This window comes from Homo sapiens, chromosome 9 (genome assembly GCF_000001405.40).
Source record: "Homo sapiens chromosome 9, GRCh38.p14 Primary Assembly".
Classification (NCBI taxonomy): Eukaryota; Metazoa; Chordata; class Mammalia; order Primates; family Hominidae; genus Homo; species Homo sapiens.
Window position 1 is genome coordinate 116430439 of NC_000009.12, and position 22061 is coordinate 116452499.

General features: G+C 42.9%; 1 protein-coding gene across 7 annotated transcripts in view; it reads right to left on the reverse strand.

The window, feature by feature from the left end:
- ASTN2 (astrotactin 2) overlaps positions 1 to 22061 on the reverse strand; it is a 991946-nt gene that overhangs the window by 7327 nt on the left and 962558 nt on the right. For all 7 annotated transcript variants that reach the window (NM_014010.5, NM_001365069.1, NM_001365068.1 and 4 more), the window contains 2 exons: positions 12015 to 12115; positions 10171 to 10354 (listed from right to left, as the gene is read on the reverse strand). In NM_014010.5, coding sequence (NP_054729.3) covers positions 10171 to 10354; positions 12015 to 12115 — 285 coding nt within the window. The remainder of the gene's footprint in view (positions 1 to 10170; positions 10355 to 12014; positions 12116 to 22061) is intronic.

A 22061-nucleotide genomic window follows, 5' to 3' on the forward strand; every position in this document is an offset into this window, starting at 1 on the left:
CTCTTAGTTGTAGCATCCATAAAATGTGAATAATGGTTTTGCTGGGAGGATGAGATAATAAGGAAAATTTGCTTAGCTCTAAGTAAGTGTCAGCAATGATTCAAAGCAGAATATTATCGTGAAAAGCACATAGGCTTTAGAGTCCATAAGGGCAAGTCACTTCACCTCCCTAAGCCTCAGTTTTCTCCTGTGTAAATGAAAATAGAAATATTTATTTTGTAGGGCTGTTGTTAGGTTGAAATGAAATGATGGCTACAAGCAACCAACACAAGACTTTGTACGTAACAGGCACTGAACCAATGTTTGCATTTAGAAAACAAAGAAGAATTCAGAAAGTAAAGCCATGGAGAGAAGGGTTGGAGGTGCTCGAAGGCTGGGGAGGAGAAGGAAGAGTCGGAGTGAGAGAGACCAAAGGCAAAAATGCTGGCTAATAAATTGTAGGCAATGGAGATCCATAAATCAAAAGGTCAGGCATGCTTCAAGCTTTCCCTGGAGGGGAAATCATAGGTCAGTGACCACTTTTGTCAAATACCGGAAATGAAATCTTCCTCATTGGAGATAGGACTCAGACCCACTGGGATAGGAAGCAAGAGGTGAGGGAGGGCCACCACATACTAATTTATTGTTTTATCAGCAGGCAAGACTGAGACAGGAATCGCTTGTGAAAGAGTCAGGGGCTGGGCCCAGATGCCACTTTTCCGGGACTGTAGAACCATTCTATTCCCAGCACCATTTCCCAATCAGCTGTTGACTCACTTATCAGACAGGACAGAGACCCAATTTCTAAGGGGACCCTGAAATGGAGAAAAATAAGACAGGCAGGAAGAAAACATTCCCATTCGCCTCCCTCCCTCCTCCCTGCCTTACGGAGTTGAGCTTAAGTGTCTCTGTGTTAGCTGTCCCGAAGCTTAATGAGAATTGAGGACATGATGTGGTTGCAAAAAAATGGGAACATGACCTTCAGAAGTGGAGAGGGCAGAGGTTAAGGGAAGTAATGGCTTCATTCATGGTGTCCTCGTCGGGCTCCATCTGGAGAACCCCCGACACTTCTGGTAAGAGGGACACATGTAAATTGCAGCCAGATCATGATACTGAGGGGTGTTTCAAAAGCAAGCCTGCTGAGCTGAAAGCAGGAATGGAGAGTGCCCATGGAAGAGAAGATTTAGGCCATTAGTTACATTGTTGTAGCAACAAAAGACAAGTGGGCAACAATCTGCGGGTCAGAGATGATAATGACTACAATTTATTGAGCACCCACTATGTGCCAGAAACTGTACCTATGCAACATTATTTTACATCTAATCCCTAACCCAATTTTAGAGTCTACAGGTGATAAAAATGAGCTTCAAGCCAGTCATTGATTTGACCAGGGTGACAGGAGGATAGGGCGGGGTTTCAATCCTCTGCTGTAAGGCATCAAAACATTATGACACAGTCACCCTAAAATTATCAGAAGACACATTTGGCTTAAAATAATAAAAAATGTAAAGCTAAAGTCCTCTAAATTTAGAAAGGGTTATTCTATGTGGCAGCGGGTTCCTCATCACTGGAGGTGATTAAATCAAGTATGTTTTAGAAAGGGGTGTACTACAGTGGGAGTCGTAGCAGGCGTTTGTCATTGTTTATTTGTTTTTAATCTAAAAGGCATGAGAGCCTTGATTCACAGAGAAATATCATCTGATGACCACTCACTTCACAACAAAATTTGCTGTGACACAATTGTCAAGCACTGAATTCCTGAGCTGAGAGGACCACTTTTGCTGAGGTTCTATTCATGACTCAAAGTCACACTGAAATTTCATCTTCAGGAAGTCTTCCAGATCTTCCCAGCTATCATAAGTCATGTTTTCCCATTTGCTGCTGAAGCATTTTATTTATCTGTGGAGATCCATATCACATTTTTTCTTAGTGTGCACATATCTTGGGATGTAATGTGGTTTTACAGGACACCAGTTGAATATCAGAAGACAATATTCTAAACTCGGACTCCAACACTTAGTGTTTAGACCTTGCAACTATGGACAGTTTACATAACTCCACAATTCTCTGTTGCCTAACCTTCAAAATCTATTGTTCAGGATATTAAATGAAATATAAATAACTGGGCCAATAACAGGTGCTCAACTAATATTTCCCACCTGCTTCTTGGACAGTGTAGGTTTCCTCTGGTGTCCAGCTCTTTACTGTGCAAGAATAATGAATTAATAAATGCAAACTGGGATTACTCATGCCTGTAATCCCAGCACTTTGGGAGGCTAAGGTGGGCGGATCACTTGTGGTCGGGAGTTCCAGACCAGCCTGGCCAACACGGTGAAGCCCCGTCTCTACTAAAAATACAAAAATTGGCCAGGTGTGGTGGCAGGCGCCTGTAATCCCAGGTACTTGGGAGGCTGAGGCAGAAGAATTGCTTGAACCTGGGAGGCAGTGGTTGCAGTGAGCTGAGATTGCACCACTGCACTCCAGCCTGGGTGACAGAGCAAGACTCCATCTTGGGGAAGGAAGGAAGGAAGAAAGGAAGGAAGGAGGGAAGGAAGGAAGGGAAGGAAATAAATGCAAAGTGACTTGAACTGAGAAAATTTTCAGTCCTTAGCTTTCAAAACACAGCAACTCTTCAGCAGAGGTCAATAAAGGGAATGAAATGGCATAAAAGCATCATGTGGACCTAAAGAAATAATCAGGCAAGTGGGCAAAAGGTTTATGTGGATTTGTTTATAATAACAAAGAAACTGTAAGAAATCTAGTTGGTTTTTAATACACAACCAGATTAATGAGTGATACATTCACATATTTGCATGACTAAAGGACCCTTCAAAAAAATAAAACATTTACATACGTATCTGTGGGTAAAAACTTGTAAAGCATATTGTTAAACAGAAACAGGCAGATAACAGAACATAACTTATGTATTTGTTAAACATAGTAGAGATGAAAGAGCTGTGGTTGTAGACATGAACATATTCTTAAGCCTGTATCTGTTTCCCCATCTCCATGCATATCCATATCTGTATACAGAAATACATGTGTACACTGTTAACAATGTAATCTCTGGGGTAGGGTTGGGATTATGTGGCCCAGAGGTGCACAATTTTCATTATTTTATATATTTCTGTATCATTTGGATTTTATATAATGAACAATAATTATTTCAGAACAAAATAAAATAAAGGTATTTTCATTTTAAACTATGAATATATACACATATATTTTTAAGCTGGTGTGATGAACTTGTGCAATGAAGCCATGGTTTTATGACTTTCCAGTAGTTCATCAGGGTTACTTTCAAAATAAACCCATATCAAATTTAGCCTCAGCTTGCTCCTATCCAACAAAGTCAGAAGCTCAGATACTGCCACTGGTTATATACCTTTAACACCAGGTTTGAAATGTGATTTGTAAGGTGCCCACTGAAAATGTTCGCATTTGCTTTCTCTTTTCATCCACTCAGAAGAAATCATAAGACTTTTCAAAAATGTGTTCTTTGATAACAGAAATGACTGAGTCTCAACTGATCCAGAGCTATTTCAGTTGGAACTGATAGGAACTTCAAGAAAATAACTAACCTTGCTATATACTGTCGGTGGGGAAAACAGATCCATGGGACACTAGTTCAAAGTCCAAAGTCAGTGTGTTTTGTTAGTATTAGTTAGTTGGTATTAGTATGAGTATTTATTTGTTAATTGAAGGTATAATTGAAGATACCTTCAATTATAAGATATACCCATGCTTTAATAACAGCCATTCAAGAAAAGAGGAATACAATGTTTAATGTACACATCCACTGTGCACAATCCGTCCTGATTTTAGAAATGCCAAAATATACAGAAAAAGGTTAAAAGTACCTCTGAGATTATAGGAATATGACCCTAGAAGCCTAAGTCTGCTCTTGTTCCCAATATCTTAAAAATTCTGAGAGTTAATTCAATATATCCAAAGAAGCAGTTAACACAATCTTGGAGGAATGTACAGTGACATCCCAGGTTTGTTTGTTTTCACTAAGAACACAGCAGTGGATGTGTAACTCTTTTCAAATCCCATGGCACGTTGAGAAAGATCCTGTGATGATTTCTGCGATCTATTCGTAATGTCTGCCATGGAGGCAAGAGGAGCTGACATCATAAATACACCATTCCTGGTCCAGATAGATCAATTTCACTGAAGCAAAATGTCCTCAAGAGCTTGCTGTGTCCTCTCTACCAATATGCTCAAACATAATTGAAAGTGTAGAGAAGCCCAAGAGTGGTCAAGGATGTTCTGACCCGAGAAAATTCTGGTCCCTGGCCACCAGTGAGCTCAGTTTTTCAAGTCTCCTAATAGGAACCTTATGTCTGGGGACAGCTGGGTGTCAGTGCGTCTTCTTTGAGCAGCTGTTTGCAGTAACCTGTGGTCGTAAGAACCAGGCTCTGGGGGACACTGGCCTGATAGATTTATTAGGCAGAGGTTAAGAGATGTCCTTTCGTCACTAAATCTTATGGGGATATATGACCACAGATTTAGGAAAGATTTGAAAACATTTTGGGGTTTAGTGATTACACAGTCCAAGAGAATCCTAATAGAGCTCATCTTATATCAGTCCTCAAAGTACTCCTGGAAAAAACTCTTATCCCTCTAGTCAACCTGGGTCCCTCAGAAACAAGACGTGCAGGGCTGGAAGTCAAATGATACTAACAATGTGTCTGTTCTCTGGTCTCTATGACCTTCAGGGTTTTCTGGTTCCTTGGCTTCCCAGCTGGAAGAGACTTTGGAGTTCAGCCCTTTCATGTTACAAACAAGGTCCAGAATGGGGATGGCTTGTGTCCAAGGTCACACAACAAGTAGGTGACAAGGCTAGGACAGAAGCCCTGGGCTCCTGGCTTTGGAGAAGCATCTTACCCTCTCTTATTTACACTGTGATGTTCTGCATACTTGCTAATCCTTGAAAGGCAGAGCAAATGTATCCAAACTGCTCCTCTGTTTAAAACATTTATATGGCTTCTGGGAGAAAGAATAAACTTGTGAACAGAACTCACAAGAACCATCATGATCTGTCCTTTGCTAAACAACCCAGCCTTGTTGTTTTTGTTTGTTTGCTTTTCCTTTTCACTTTGAACTCTCCTCTTTCACTTCGAACTCTCTTCTCCAATAAGATTTATATTTTTAACTGAAGTATATTATCTTACCCAACTTCTCTCATCTTTGCATTGGTAATTCCTTCTGATGAGAAGACTCTCTCCCTTCCACCTGGAGGACCCTTCTTCATTCTGTTTCTAAACTTAGAAACATTCTTTCTTTTACAAGGATTCTTCCTTGAGCTCCAGATCTGGATTAGCTGCTCCAGCTTTCTGCATCTGGAACCTTGTCACTCCAAGTATGCTTTTGGGGCCAACAACATTAACATCACTATGAGAGCTTGTTACATTGGATTTTTTGGAATGTTAGAAGACCTCAGAGTTCATGGAATTCAGTAAATGCAGAATCTCAGACCTAACCCAGACTACTGAGTCAATTTGGAATGTAACAAGTCCTCAGGTGATTCTCAGGCACGTTAAAGTTTGAGAAGCACTGCTCTAAAACGCTTGTCCATTCACATGCCAAATGCCACCGCAATTGCTGGCTGACCAGTCTTTTCCGCACTAGATGCTGAACCTTGTAAAGGCAGGATCTCTGCCATCTTCACTCTGTATTTTTAGCCCCCAGCACACGGCCTGACACATAGTTAGCACATTAAATGAATCAATGAATCAATCAATCAATGAAGTGAGATCTCTTCAAGTCTTTTAATATTTGCAAGGACATTGCATTTTTTGGAATGTTAGAAGACCTCAGAGTTCATGGAATTCAATTGTTTCCATCTGTGATCTAAAGATTCTTGAGGGCTTGGAGAGACATAAGGGATGCTTGGGATTGGGTGGGGTGGAGGGGCATAGAAGAGGAGACCCAGCAGGTGGGACTCCAGGCCACCCACTCCAGTTTCTACCAGAACAAATCTTTAGTCATCTGGTCCACACATTTAAATCATCTCATTACTCAATTACTCAACAACTAATTATTTAGCACTTACTTACAAATGTGAATACGACATAAGGGATCACTAACTATACATAGTTTACATTGTAGTAGGGAAGACAGATAATATGTAAGTAAACATACAAGCAATATAAGATTCTAAATCTAGTAAGTGCAGGAAAGATAGTTAAACCATTAGGGTGTGACAGAGCAAATGGGCGGACATTTTAGAGAATTCTCTGTGGAGGTGGGCTGTGATTCCATGTAAGATTTATTTAGAAAAAAAGGGTATATACCCAAAGGACTATAAATCATGCTGCTATAAAGACACATGCACACGTATGTTTATTGCAGCACTATTCACAATAGCAAAGACTTGGAACCAACCCAAATGTCCAACAATGATAGACTGGATTAAGAAAATGTGGCACATATACACCATGGAATACTATGCAGCCATAAAAAATGATGAGTTCATGTCCTTTGTAGGGACATGGATGAAATTGGAAATCATCATTCTCAGTAAACTGTCGCAAGAACAAAAAACCAAACACCACATATTCTCACTCATAGGTGGGAATTGAACAATGAGAACACACGGACACAGGAAGGGGAACATCACACTCTGGGGACTGTTGTGGGGTGGGGGTGGGGGAGGGATAGCATTGGGAGATATACCTAATGCTAGATGACGAGTTAGTGGGTGCAGCGCACCAGCATGGCACATGTAACTAACCTGCACATTGTGCACATGTACCCTAAAACTTAAAGTATAATAATAATAATAAAAAATACCACTGTTCTAGTTCGTCCTTATCATGTTATAGGTGAGGAGACTGAGGGCCAGAAAGCGGCAGAGCCCAGGGTTGCACAGTGAGCTTATTAGCAGCACCAGGATAGATTAGGAGGCAGTTTCCTTGATTCCTGCTGACATATCAGTGTGGGATGTTGGAGCAATCTCAGATATCCTCCAGGAGACTAGAAAGACCAGAGGAGGAGGAAGCTGGGTGACAGGGTGGGGAGGTTCGCAGACAGTGGCTGGTGACTGCCTGACTAGGGGTTAGCGGGTTATCACAAACCATTACTGAGTGGATTGCCTGGCCTCTGTGGGCGGCCCGGCCGCCTTTCCAGAAGATTTATGTCCTGGAGGCTCATAAAGGATTCCAGGAGGCTGTAAAGACAAAGTCAGAAGTGGAGCTGTGGTTTAGCTTCCACACAAACTCCCTGAGCCCTGTGGGAAAGCCCAAAAAACTGGAATGCCTTCCTCTGTCCACAGGCAAGATGGCAGCTGAGATGACTCACACAGCGGCTTTCATCTGGGGCTCTTCACTTCTGCCCGCCAGTCTGGCCCTCTTTTAGGTTTTATCTAAAGAACCTTCCTTTCATGTGCAAGGGAGAAAGTTAAAGTCCAGGACCCAACATAACTGATAAGGCCTTGCGCTGGACAGAGATCCGTTTTATCCCTGGACCAAGCTCTCATCTCTGTCCCTGAGAGCCTCAAATTCTTGGAGGGCCATTGCAAATGTTCTAAGGGCTCAAGGTAAGAGCTCAAGGCAGAACTGGCCTCCATGTCAAACTCTGCACAACTCTGGGCAGCTCATTTTGCCCCATGGGACCTCAATTTCCTTATCGTCCAAAAAATGGCATGAATACCCTACATGGTCATTTTGAAGTTTTTAAATCATGAAGTGCTGCCCACTAAGTATTTCAAGAAGTCATGTGATTCTCTCCAATGCACCAATGCCACCCTGGCCTAGAATGCTATGCTGTCTTCCTGGGACTATTATCACAACAGCCTCTAGAGCCTCACTGCCGCTTTCTTACCTTGACACCTATACTCAAGCCAGAGGGATCTTTCTCCTTTAATGGTCTGATAATATTACTCCTTTTTGTGAAAAACACTTCAAAAGCTTACCATTACCCTAAGGAGATAATCCCAACTTCTTAACCTAATTTAAAGGACATTCAGGATCTGGCTCCCACTGACCTCCCCCTTCTTATCTCTTACCACTCCTGCTGTCACACACTTTGCTGCCACTACACAGAAATTCTTCAGTGGCTCCAAACACAGTGTTTACCAAAGTGTAGGCCGAGTTCCTCTAGGGTAGGGAAAGGATTTTAGGTGGTACTCAAGATGATCACAGACCCAATATTAAACAAAAATGAATCATGTGTGCAAAAGTGGCTAGATTAGCTCTTTCATTCTCTTCCCCTCTTTCAGGTTACTTCAAAAGGAAAATCTTGGGCCGGGCGGTGGCTCACGCCTGTAATCCTAGCACTTTGGGAGGCTGAGATGGGCGGATTACTTGAGGTCAGGAGTTTGAAACCAGCCTGGCCAACTTGGCGAAACCCTCTCTCTACTAAAAATATTTTTTAAAAATTAGCCGGGCCTGGTGGTGGGTGTCTATAATCCCAGCCACTTGGGAGGCTGAGGCAGGAGAATCGCTTGAACTCACGAGGCGGAGGTTGCAGTGAGCCAAGATAGCACCATTGCTCTCCAGCCTGGCCAATAACAGCGAAACTCCATGTCAAAAAAAGAAAAGAAAATCTTGGTTTGGGGCTGTGTCTTTAACATTTCTCTAACTAATCTCCCTTTTGAAGGGACAGCTTCAGGCTCTGCTAGAATTGAACAACATTGTTTTCTGTTTTTTGTCTTGTTCCACTTTTGTTGCTTTTGTTCATTGTCTTGAAGGGTTAGGTTTAATTTTCTATTAAGGGTAGATGATGTTGGTTTTCCCTTTACAAGATGATGTTGTGTTTTCTATTCAAATACATTTTTTTTTTTTTTTTTTTTTTTTGAGACGGAGTCTCGCTCTGTCGCCCAGGCTGGAGTGCAGTGGCGGGATCTCGGCTCACTGCAAGCTCCGCCTCCCGGGTTCACGCCATTCTCCTGCCTCAGCCTCCCGAGTAGCTGGGACTACAGGCGCCCGCCACTACGCCCGGCTAATTTTTTGTATTTTTAGTAGAGACGGGGTTTCACCGTTTTAGCCGGGATGGTCTCGATCTCCTGACCTCGTGATCCGCCCGCCTCGGCCTCCCAAAGTGCTGGGATTACAGGCGTGAGCCACCGCGCCCGGCCTCAAATACATTTTTAATAAGAAGTGAATATAAGAAAGAAATACCAAATAAAGTGTATATGGTGGTGAGATGACAAAAGTCATAAAAGTGGTAGGCAAGTGATCAAAAGTTGAGAAGAAAACTTCCACTGTCATGTAACATTTTCTCTTCTGAGCATTCCGTCAGGTAGTCTCTCTGCTCCAAATACCCATCCTTTTCCCCCACAACCCTCACTTACCTTACCCCAACTCAAACCTTAGGCATCAGTCTCTCAGCCCCAGTGCAGCTTCATTGGGTGACCTAGACCAGATGCCTATGTCTCATGTATGTTCCCAAAGAGTTCTGTTCTTCTGCTATCATGACGCTTATTATTCCTGCTCTACATAACTGCCTGTTTATGCAACAAGAAGCTATGTATAGGTAGCAACCATTTCTACCTTTTTATCGTTGCATTGTCAGCAGCCACCACATAAGAGGTGCTGTTAAGTATATGCTGAATGGATGAATGTTGCTAGATGCAAGACATAAAATGCAGCCACCATTGCATATACTGCTTTATGAAGCTTTAGAAAATAGTGACTGTGCCTTAGTTCTGTTTGAATCATTCATGGTTCCTGGCATAGTGACTGGCATGCAGGACAAAAATAAAGCCTTCATACATGTTGAATTCATAAATCTATATAGTCATGTTCACTAATGGACTTTAGTCAAAATCATAGCTATTTACTGTAAAAAAACTCAGACTTCTTATGGAAGACTGAGAAAGGCCCTGGATTATGGGTCATGGCCCCACTGCTGTTCCCCTCTGTGATCTTGGTTAGGATACAGGCCTTCAAAGAGCCTAAGTTTCCTATCTGTAAAATGAGGTGGGAGATGAGCAAGGAGAATGATTAATGCAAAGAGCATCAATGCCCTTTCCCCATTCAACATTCCAGGAGTGCAGGAATCTAAAGTTCCAAGATTCTTTCATTATCTCTGCCTATTTTCTATCTTTAGCCTTGACACGACCAAGGTGATAATCACCCTTATTTACTTGATAAAGCCTAGTCTCAGCCTATGGGGAAAGGGTCCAGAAAAGTCAACTGGAGGCAAAAAGAATATGCCCCTCCAATCACACAAATACGCCCATACCTGGGCCCCAGCTCATCCTCACTTCTCCAGACGAAGTCGCCAAACTTTTCATAGTGAGAGTTGTAGTGGTGCTGGACTCGGAACAGCATCGAGGCTGAGACCTCCATCAGTGTGTTGTAGGCCATCTGCTGCTCCTTTCCACTTGTGTACCCATTGTACAGATTGTAGATCTTGTCAGCTATTTCTGAGAGGGCAGAAGGGCAGAAACAGATCACTGGGTGGTGAAAAAAAGTAAGGATATAAGCATGGGCTTCAATAAGAAAGGCACAGTGGTGAGAAAGTTTGCTTGCATAAGCTCTGGGAGCAGACAAACCTTAATTTCATCTTGAATATGTTATTGACTGGTTGTGTTTGGTTTTCTGTCATCTGGAGGTAATGATGTCTATTCTGGAGGTGCATTGGGAGAGCTAAATTAAAGAGTGGATACAAAGCACTCAACACAGGGTCTGGCACAAAGTTAGTGCTCATAATTGCAAGCTTAATTATCAATATAATTATTGTACCTGTGATTTTACATACAATTGGCTTAAATAAATTGTCTTGGATAATCTCAACACCCTCCTTCTATTTCCCCTTTGTTGTATTTCCAACACATTTCTGTGATCAGGTCTGATAGGTCCCCATTTGAAACACCTTTCAAAGATAATCCAAACTCTTCTGCTTGTTGTTCATGGCTATTCCTACTGCTTCAGTTAGTCCTACTAATCAAAGTAACTTCAATACATCATGAGTAGAAGGCATATTCTTCCAGCTTCAAAAACCCTGTCAAAATCTGTATGTGGTCCTAAATCATTACCAACAACAGTTGCTGCTAGGAGAATCTGGAAACTTAAGAGTAAAAATGGGAGGAACACTATGCTCCTCCCATTATGTTACACTATTTTCTACTCTGATTTTTATTTGTACTTTTTTTTTTGACAGTGGACGTGTTATTTTAAAATAATATTTTTAAAAATTTATCAGGAAAATGTTTCGAATCCCCTCCCCTTTGGTAGCACATAAAACATTTATAATTGAGTTTATTATTGAGCCATCTGCAGAAATGTCTGTCTCACCACCCATAATGTGAATTCCTAAAAGGGGAGACTATGTCTCTACTGCATTGCTTGGACTTTTGAGAAATAATTGTTCAACTTTAAGTAGACCACCAGGACTTATGAGCCACTGTCACATTTTGCTAGACTTGATGTAGAAACTGCATCTACACAATGCTGAAGAACAAAGTATATGGTGGATCTGATTGACTGATTATATTTTTTCAGGTTATTTTTGCCTGCTGTTTATGTCATGAACCAGGAGCAGCAAAAACATTTAATCTTGCATGCTAACTGACTGATAATCACTGATGGTAGCTCTATGCTAAGGATTCTGAGACCACCATGGGACTGGATGGAACAGCATGCTGTGATCTGCTAATGATGTCTGCTATGGACACCACAAGGTGAAATGGTTTTCTAGGTGCCATCTCTTTGCTACTCTAGCAACGACAAGTGGGAGAAAATGATTGGTCCCTGAGAAATCTAGGCCAAGGGACAAGATACAGTTATGGGGCTCTGACTCCCTACCATTTGTGGCCTGTAAGTCAGAACACAGATCAACTCTCTAAAAGAGGAGGCAAGTCTTTCCACTGCCAAAGACATTGCTAGTCAATCTTAATTTTTCCCTTCATGACTTTGATTAATTTAGCTCCATGTTCCTCCTGTTCCCTTAGTGCCTTCAATTTCTTCTCCCTGTGCCAGTGTGTCAGGGTGTGCGTGTGTGTGTTTAATGATTAGTGACTGTTGGGTGCAGAACTTAGGGGAAATATGGGAGTTACTTTGGAGTTGAAAAACTGGGTTACCTACCTTCTGCCTTGTTGTCATCTACCAGTGGACAGGCCGTCCTCAGGGTCACCGTGCTTAGCTCTGAGTGCCTCCCTCGTGTATCCACAGCATACAGAGTGAACCTGCAGCACAGCAAGAAAACAGAGCACCAGGCTGTGACTTCACAGAAGGCCCTGGGAGTTGCAGGGAAGAACAGAGAGTCATGGCACATGAGGCTACAGGAAAAATGATTTTAAAAAAAGAATGATACTTATAAAGCATTTATTGAGCACTAACTGCCTACTCAGCACTTTGCACTTCTTAAAAGGGAGGGATTTATTGTCACCCACATCTTGTCAATGAGGACACTGAGACTTAGATTGTGTATCTTTCCACAGTCTCAGTTACTGAGGGACAGAATGGGGGTATTGAACTCATGCAGTCTGAGTCCAGGGTCTGAGAAGTGAGCCCCATTGCTATCCTTTATGGCTGGATATATCCATTTATATATTCATTAATTTACTCATTTAAGAAATATTTATTGAGCATTTACTGCACACCAGGAAGTACTTTAAGTGCTAAGGTCATAAAGATGAACAAGAGAGTCAAGGTCACAGATAAAAAAAGTAAGTAAAATCAAAAAGTAAACAAAAAATCAGATAATGGTTAAGTGTGAAAGAAAATATACCAGAATAATGCAAAAAAGACTAATGCGGGAGCATGGGGAGTATGGGCTTTGGGATGTAGCCCATGAAAGCCTTCCTGAAGAAGAAACTTCAGGACCTAAGACCTGAATAGTGAGGAAGAACCAGTTTATGGAAGGAAGACCTGGGGAAAGAGCATTCTAGGTAGGATGCTCAGTAAGTACAAAGGTCCTGAGGAAAGGAGCCCAGACGGTTGAAGAAATGGGCAGCCAGTGTGGCTGGAACAAAGGGAAATGAGGTAGAAGGTCGGTGGGAACCTTGTAGGCCATGCCAGGGAGACTGGGGGTTAATCTGGCTATAAGGCATATCCCCACCTTTCTATGATGTCATCTGAAGTTCCATGCTATATTGATGGAAGCAGACACAGCCTGTGTGGCCTTAGAAGGAAAGAACAGGTAAAACGTAGACCTGGTAGATTCAAGTCTAATCCAGAGCACATAATTGTTTCTAGAGCAGCCTCTGTCCTCTGTCCTATCTCGGGGAAGCTCTGTGACCCTTGTATTCCCAGATCTCCAAGTTCTACAGTTAAGCAAAGTCTAAGAAGGGAGCAGAAATGACTTTCTAGATGATGTGAGCCTTAGAGGCCAAGAACAGTCTGATAGAAGGGTTGAGCATCTGAGTGTTCTGTCTGCATCATGTCATCCTTTTTCACCAGCTTTTAAGGGTAGAGGCAGTAGTGTGAAGTGGGTAGAGGGTTCCCTACATTAAGTAGAAGAGACTAGGGTCATAATGGCCCTATTTTCTTCCCTCCTCCCTTGCATCTCAAATTATCCCATGTTATAAAATACGAAAAACACTATGATTAGCAAGTTTCAGAATGCTGAGCCCTGATTGGCCATACATACTTGTACTTAATAAATATAAGTTGGTGATACAAATTAATTATTATGTGCTAAGACCCTAATATGTGTCAAGCACTGAGCTAAGAGTTACCTACATTAACACAATTAATTCCCCCACACAATCCTAAAAGACAGGCACTATTACTCTCTTTATTTTATTTGTGAGGCTCAGAGAGGGGAAGCAGCTTGCCCAGAACCACATAGTAATTACTAGGACTGGCAATTTAAACCTTGGTTTCTCAGACTCTAAAATTCATACATGCAACCACTGTAAGCTGTTGTCTTCTGATCACAGTTCTGTAGAAATCAACTCTGTAAAAATGTGATTCCATTAGCCACACTTGCTGAACCCCAACTATGTTGAAGCAGTGCCATCTCATAAGTTTTTCTGATCTTATGAAAACATGCTAAAATAATCACCCTCATTATCTATACCTTTCAGAAGATAAAACTGAAGATTTAAAAAATTAAGCAATGTGTCCAAAGTCACAGGTTCAGAAAATTAAGGAGCCAAGACTATCATCTGTCTTACTCTAAAACCCACACTCTTTGCTCTCAGCTGCCATTTTATTGCTCCCACTCGCAGGCTCAGGGTATCATATCCAGGTTACCTACATGGGCCCTTCCAGCTTTGACTTCCCATGACCTGAGGCCTCAAAGGTTGTTTTAATAAAGGGTACCACAAGTCAAAACTTCTTGGTACAAAGGAAGCAGGGGGTGACAGAGGAAGGGGCCCGGTCTTGGAGATGGCCAGATGTGGGTTCATATTCCAGTTTTACTGTCTAGCATTGTGAACTTGGGCAAGTCGCTTCACCTCTCTGAGCTCACTGCACCTCTCTGCACCCAACATCTGTGATAGACTGCCACCCACCTCACAAGTGCAGTATGGATAGATGTGAAATGTAAGTGCACTATGAGGTAAGTTATCATTGGAAAGCCATGCAGAAGGGTTGAGAACAAGATCATAAATAAATTTAAGGAGGTGAGAGTAAGCAAGTGGCAAGGTGGGAAGTGAGAACAGCATCAGGCAACATTATGTAAGCACTTATCATCCACATATGGACCCATCTAGAAAGTGGCAGAGGCAAGATGCAAATGCTAGCATGCATGACTCATAGTGCATACACTTCGGCTTGGGTACAGCTATATGTTAAATGACAACAAGTCATTTAACACAGTACTAGGCACACAGTAGGCACTTGACAAATACTGATATAAATGAATGAATGAAAGCATACCACCTCTCATTTCTTTAGTTTCTCCATCAATAAAATGAGGTTAGTTTCACAGACAGTGCATGGCTGTCTCAAGGATTACATGGAGTGATGCTGAGAAAGTGGCTTGTAAGAAGAGGATTTTTATAAAAGCACTTATTTGTGCAAGACAACACATTTTAAAAAATGCTTTCTTGGAGTTAGAAGAGACGTATTTCAACCAAGGGAAACATGGAAGGCTTGTAGTGAATAGAATATATGAATGAAAGTTCAAAATATGAAAAGTAGGAATATGTTTTAACACAGCTGTTTCATAGGCCACTTATGTTCCTGTGGTGCTTCTGCAATCCACTTCCTTCACCCAAGAGGGCCCAGGGTCATCTCGCTGCTTAGCCAAGCAGCATGAATAAGAGAGCCCCCAGGATGCTGGGGAAGAAGTGGTCTTAGGTATTCATGTCATAAAAACTGGGTAGAATCCTTGCTTTCTCCAATTGCTGGCTGAATATTCTTTGGGAAGTCACTTCGCCTGCTTTGAGCCTCAGTCTCCTCACCTGTAAAATAGGGTGAAATTATCCATATCTCACAAGTTGGTGGTCAAGACTCAGTGACACAATGATAATAATAGGCCCAGTTCAATCTTTGCTCCCTAAAAGGTAGCTTCTATTTTTGTTATTATAGTAACCAAACATGCCAGTGGGGGCCTCGGGATGGAGGAGGCCTCAGGCAACCCTGCTGGGGGGTGGAGAAAGAGGAAGACGTCAACCTCACAGTGCTGGGTCAAAAGTCACAAGGCCATGCGCTTTCTGCCTGTCTCAGCTGTAATTGTAGAACTGTTCCAGAGGCACATCTGAAAGCTGTTAGGGGACCAGGCAGTGCCTGGAGGGGTTACTTGTGAAGGAGAGAAAGTGGCAGTCCCTGATATGAAGGAGAGAGGGAGAAAGAGACAGAGAGAGTGAGAAGTTGGGGGGGGACAGAGACCAAGAAACAGATACAAATATATACCACAAGCAAATCCATACAGCAGGAGAGTGAAAGAGGGAGAGCCAGGGACAGAGAGAGACAGAGACAGAGACAGAGGGGAGAGGGAGAGAGAGAGAGAGATAGAGAGAGAGAGAGAGAGAGAGAGAGAGAGAGAGAGAATAATCAGACCTCTGAGTTTCTTGAGATCAGAAAGGGTGTCAGCCTCTCTCTGCTTAGTTCTGTCATCATCTCTCTGAAGCAGGCTGAGGTTCACTGATAATTTGAACTAAAACTCCTGTACCATCAACTCCTAATCTTGATTTTACAAGTGGAGAAACCAAAGCCCAGAAGGAAAAATGACTTGCACAAAGACCCACTTGCCAATAGATTCATACAAAGACTCTGGCATTCCTGACTCCTCCTCCTCCAGTGCTCTCTCCTACATTTCCATGCCCTGGCTGATCGAGGTCCAAGTCTACTTATGGGATGCTTTCATTATGAAAGAGGCGGCTCATGGATAACGTTGGATGAGCTATACAGGAACCTGGAGCTCCAGGCCCAAACCATTGCTATTCCTTTCCTTGGCCTTATTTCAGGGGAAGGAACACTGGCCAAGGTGGCTGAAACCTGAATTTGAGTCCCAGCTTGTCCACAGACTGTGTGGTATGAGATCTTGCATACCTACAGTAATACAGGCTTAGTGTATTGGGAGGTTGAAATCCAAACAAACACACTGTGTGGGAAAATGCCTTGGGATAACTACTCCGAAGTATTTTTCAATATTTCTTCATCATTGTCAGGACATTGTCATCCTCAGGACATCATCTTCATCATCCTTAGGACAAAGTCCATCACTCTCAGGACAAATTCCTCAACTTGGAACCCCCTCATTTGAGCTCTGGTCAAAGGTCTAGGTGTGCTTGCTGACCTTCCTCCCCACTCTGCTTCACAGCAGAGGCATCTCCAGCTGCTGATGGTTCCAGAACATGGATCCCACCTCTGAACCTTTCCACCAGTGGCACTCTCTGGCTGAGTCATCCATCCCCTTCTTCACTTGACCCCTCTCCACCTTGTCCTTGAAGCATCGCTCAAACCTTACCTCCTCTGGAAAGTCTGCTTTGACCGTCTCAAGAGCTGCTTAGCCCTCCTTTTCCCCTGCACGGTGCCCATGCCATATGGTGCACATGTCACACAGCTAGGTCAGCACCCCTTCACTTCTTTCTTGCCCCTATGAGTATGTGATTGTCTTCAGGATCAGAATATGGTTCTGCTCAACTCTAAACACCTACACCTGGTGCACCAACGCTCAGCACACACAGGTCAGAATGAATGAGGTTCATTTCCCTTTCCTGGAAATCAGTCTTTCCATCTGTGAAATGAACAGAAGATGACTAGATTGAAAGGTTACTAAAATGAATGGAATAACAAGAGGGCTAAAGGCATGGCTTTGGGATCAGCCAATTTGTTGTTAAATTCTGGCTTCTCGTACATTGGCTGTGTGTAGCCTTGTCTCAAGGTACTCACCTGTACAACGGGAATCATAATATTAAAACTCACCATGAAGGGTTCTTGTTAGAATAAAAGAGAGTGCAGCATGAAAGTGCTCAGCACAATGCCCGACATGTGATATTGTGATATGCAATAACCAATATGCAATCAATCGCTGTTGGCATCATCATTAGGGTTAGTACTAAGCCACTGCCCAAGGCTCTGACTTCACCCCCAACTGGAGTAAGTGGTCCCAGTGGAGATCAGAGGAGGGTGGGTAGAAAGGAAGCTGCTATTGGTCCCATCCAAGACCCCAGACCTCCTCACAGCAGGGGTGAGAGAATGAAACCAAGAAGTTAATTGGCAGTGAGAGCTTCTCACAGATCTGACAGGGGGTAAGAGCAGGGACAGAGCCCTAGAGGCCCACGTCAGGCCTGGGTCCCCGAGAGTATAGGAGAATGCGTTTGAAGTCTCCAGGCCAACGCCTGCTCTTCCCCAGCCGCAACATGATTTAGGCATTCTGGGGAGGCAAAAGTCTCCTCGCTGATTTGAAGGGAAACAGATGTTTCCAGGCCAGAGGCCCCAGTCTTGTAAAATGCTCCTTCCCCCCACACAGCTTTGGCAAACAACTTCCACTTAGCTCATGCCCACCCCTCCCACCCCCACTGCCATGGCTCCCCTCCCTGCCATTTCCAGCACAATGTGGCAGACAGGGGCAGTAGGAAAAGCACCTAGTCCCAGCTTAAGCTTTGGGTCTGGGAAGCTGGATGGCCAGGGCCACCTCAGTGCCCATCTCTATGCTTCAGCCTCCCATCTCCTGCAGTGAGGGAACAGGACCAAGCTCACTGCTGAGAGATAGGTTAGATCTAATATTCTAGGAACTGAGAGCTGTTTTTTCCTCGATAGAGCTGGTGTTACACGTTCCAGACTTTTCTCCACTGGATTCCGTGGCAAACAGCATGGACTTACAAATAAGACTGTTCTGGATTTGAATCTGGATTCTACCTGGGCAGTAGCAAGAAGCTACTGAGCAAGTAGAAATTCTACCATTGAGCCTCAGTTTCCTTATCTGTAAAATGGGGACAAGAGTTTTATCTTGTGGGATTGTGAGAATGAAATCAGAATGCAATCTCCCTACCCATAGTTTAGGTTTCTTGTGAACAAAATCAAGTACTATATCTTTTCCCTTGTACTATTCATGATGCCCAGACAGTATGGATGTAGAGAAAATGTGTAATAGTGTTCGTGATGGATTTTTGATGGGAAGACTGCTAGACACTCTGAAGTCCAAAGCCTCTCATTCTGAACCCAGCTCCACTCAAGTAGTAGAAAGAGTGTTTCTGCTTTTATGATCACAATGAGGCAGGGTGTGCAGAGGTTAGAATAGACACTGGAGCCCTGCTACCTGAGTTCGAATGTTTGTTCTACAACCTACTATCCTTATGACCTTAGGCAAGTTAATCGACCTTCTCTGTTCTGTAATGTTTCTTGTCTTTAAAGTGTGTGGCCGGGCGTGGTGGCTCACAACTGTAGTCCCAGCACTTTGGGAGACCGAGGCAGGTGGATTGCATGAGCCCAGGAGTTCAAAACCAGTCTGGGCAACATGGTGAAACCCCATCTCTACAAAAAATACAAAAATTAGCTGTGCATGGTGGTACACACTGGTAGTCCCAGCTACTAGGGAGGCTGAGGTGGGAGGATCATTTGAGCCTGGGAGATCAAGGCTACAGTGAGCCAAGATGGCACCACTGCAGTCTAGCCTGGCCAAGAGAGCGAGACCCTGCCTCTAAATAAATAAATTAGTAAAAATAAAATGTGTATGATAATATTATCTATCTCAAAGGGATGTTAGAGGAATAAAGTTTATGAAACGATGCTTGACACATGGTAAGTGGTAAGTTAGCATAATTGTTATTCAATGTGCATGTGTTTAAATAATTCATCTCTTCTATAATGGCTTTAAAACAAGACCCCCGCCCCAGTTCTTTGACATTTCACCTTGAATATGGGCAGGCTCATGAGTGCTTTGACCAGTAGAGCAAAATGGAAGGGATGCTGTGTGACTTCTGAGTCTGGGTCATAAAAGGGGATGCAGCTACCACCTTGCTTACTGAAACATTCTCACTTGGAACTGTGAGCCTCCGTATAAGAAATTTGAGTGCCCTGAGGCCACTGTGGTGGGAGGAAGACAAGCCACAAGGAGAGGCCATGTGTGGTTGCTTCAGCAGCCCTGGTACCTAGGCTCCAGATGGATGAGTAAAGGAGCCTTCAGATAATTCTCACCCAAGCAGTCAAGTTACTCCCAGCTTTTGAATTCTTGCAGTTGAGGCCCCATACTTCGTGGAGCAAAGACAGCCCAACCTACTATGTACTGTCTGAATTTTCAACCCACAGATCCATGAGCAAAATCAAATGGTGATTTTAAGCTGCTAAGTTTTGGGGTCATTTGTTGTGTCATCAATAGTAACTGCAACAACTAACAAGCATTGCAAGCAGGATCAGCAAACTACAGCCCACAGTCCAAATCTGGCCCACTGCCTATTTTCATAAATAAATCTTTTACAACCACACTCTTTTTTGGTTTGCTTTGAATGCATTTTCTATGGCTGCTTTCACACTACAATGGCAGAATCACGTAATTGTGACAGAAATCACAGCATCGTCAAGGCCTAAAATATTTACTATCTGGACCTCCAGAGGAAAGCCTACTGACTCCAATGTAGAGCTTTGAAAGTACTGAATGTAGTATCATTTGCTTACATTATTTCATTTAATCCCAAGGTTAGAAATCATTCCTATTTTACAGTTAGGATCAGAGAGTTCAAGTGACTGGTCCAAGGTCACACAGCTCTCTAACTGCAGGTCTAATGCCTCCATAGCCCGTTGAAGACCTAGACTCCAGTTTGAGTAATAATGGCTTTGGGTAAGTCCCACCATGCTCTGCTCTCACTTTCCCAGCCTGGGACATGAGGGTATTGGGCAAGTTGGGCTGGAGAGGCTGCCAAAAGTCAGATGTCCAAACTTCCCCCCAGCTGAGTGCTAGCTACCAAGCAAAGTATTTCTGTTCCCCTTTGGTCTAGGAGTACCCAAGTGAGGCTTGAGAATGAGTCACCAGGGGCTGCTATGCATCCCTGCTCACTCTCACATGCAGCCACCCACCCTCGAGCACCAGAACCCAACTTTCCTGTCTCCCAACTCAAGCTGACAACCCATGCTTTCTGCCAACATAAATATTTAATTCTAGTGCCCGGAACAGAGAGACCATCTTGGTATTAAGGACTCCCATCCTAGTTTCTACTTTCAAAACAACTCAGTCTGAGGCATGATTAGGAGGTCCTGGCTTAGAACAAAGGTAAAGCAGTTTGTGGTTGGGCTCCAAACACCAGCTCCCCACACTTGCACTCCCTTCAACCTCTCAAGCTGTATGAGCTAACAGGCAAAGAATCAGGGGAGTGGGGAGCTGGCAGGGAGAGCTCTGTAGGAAGGCCAAGTCTGGAAACCAGTGTTGGTTCTAAGCTCAGGCAGAGGTGACAGCAACCTGGAAACGGTGCTAGGCATCCACTGTTCTGACTGCTAAATCCCCTGAAATTCACTGGTATGTGAGCATCTCCCTAAAATTCACAGTGCAGTGAACACCAGAACTCAGAAATAATTATAGTATTAACACTTAAAATTAAATACATATAAATTCATTTACAATTAAAGTGTGTTGAGTGTATCTCCAATACCTGAGGAGTGAGTAATTATCACAGCAGTTCCACTCTGTGTGCTTTGCCATAAATGAATGCCTACTAGGTGCTGGGCATTCTGCTAAGCACGGAAGAAACACCCATAAAAAAAAAAAGAGTGGGGTTTTTGCTGTCATGGAGCTCACAGAAGAGCAGAGAGATGGTCAAATGAACAAGAAATGGGACACAGTACTATAAGGTCTTCAATAAAAATGTATTCTTGCCCCTATGTTTGTTTCAGGTGTGTCTGTTCTTCCTTCTTTCAAAACAGTGGACTAAGCCTTAGATATGAGTTTAAAAGCTACTGTGAACTAGACCTTATCTTGCTGGATCTTCTGTCTGCTGCAAACTGGGATTGTCAACCACCTACAGGACTCTCATTTTTTTGTACGAAAAAATGATGACAATTCTTGCCCTCTCCATTCTGAAAGCCTTTGAGGAGTGAATAAGACAGTGGATTTAAATATATAAATACTATGCAAATGATCTGAGTGTATTCATTCACTCATCAAATATGAGTGACCTGACCCCTCTTGAAAAAAAAAAATGCAGGTTGGCATGTGGCTTGGCTTTAACAACAATGACTGTGTTTGCCTTTCTTTTCTTGGTCTTCTCCTGTCCCTTCCTCTCCCCATCCCCCGTCTTTTCCTCCTCCTTCTCTTTATTCAGGGTGTGGACTAAATGATAACACATAATTGTACTAGCTATAGTACTTAATTGGAAGATGTTCACATTTTAATATGCTGTTTTAGGGTAAAGCAGACACAGACTAACCTTATGGTCTCAAGTTAAGGAATGAATTGAACACAGAATGCCCAATTATTCTACTCCAACTTGCACTCCTGGGATCTCTGAAGCAAATTGTAGGCTTTTAAAAATATCTTTATTATATATTGGACAGCATCTCTGAACTCAGATATAAACAATAATTTTTAAAGTGACTTCAGTTATAGAAATGACTTTTTCAGAAGGCATAACTTGGAAGCATGTTGAATTGAGAGGCAGAGGATATGATGTGTAGGTTTCACCTTGTCATTAACTAGCTATGTGGCTTTGGTGGGATTGTTTGCCCTCTCTGCACCTCAGTGGCCTGTCAATAACCCCATGGTGACGGTGTGAGGACTAAATGGTGATTATGGATGTAAAAGTGCCT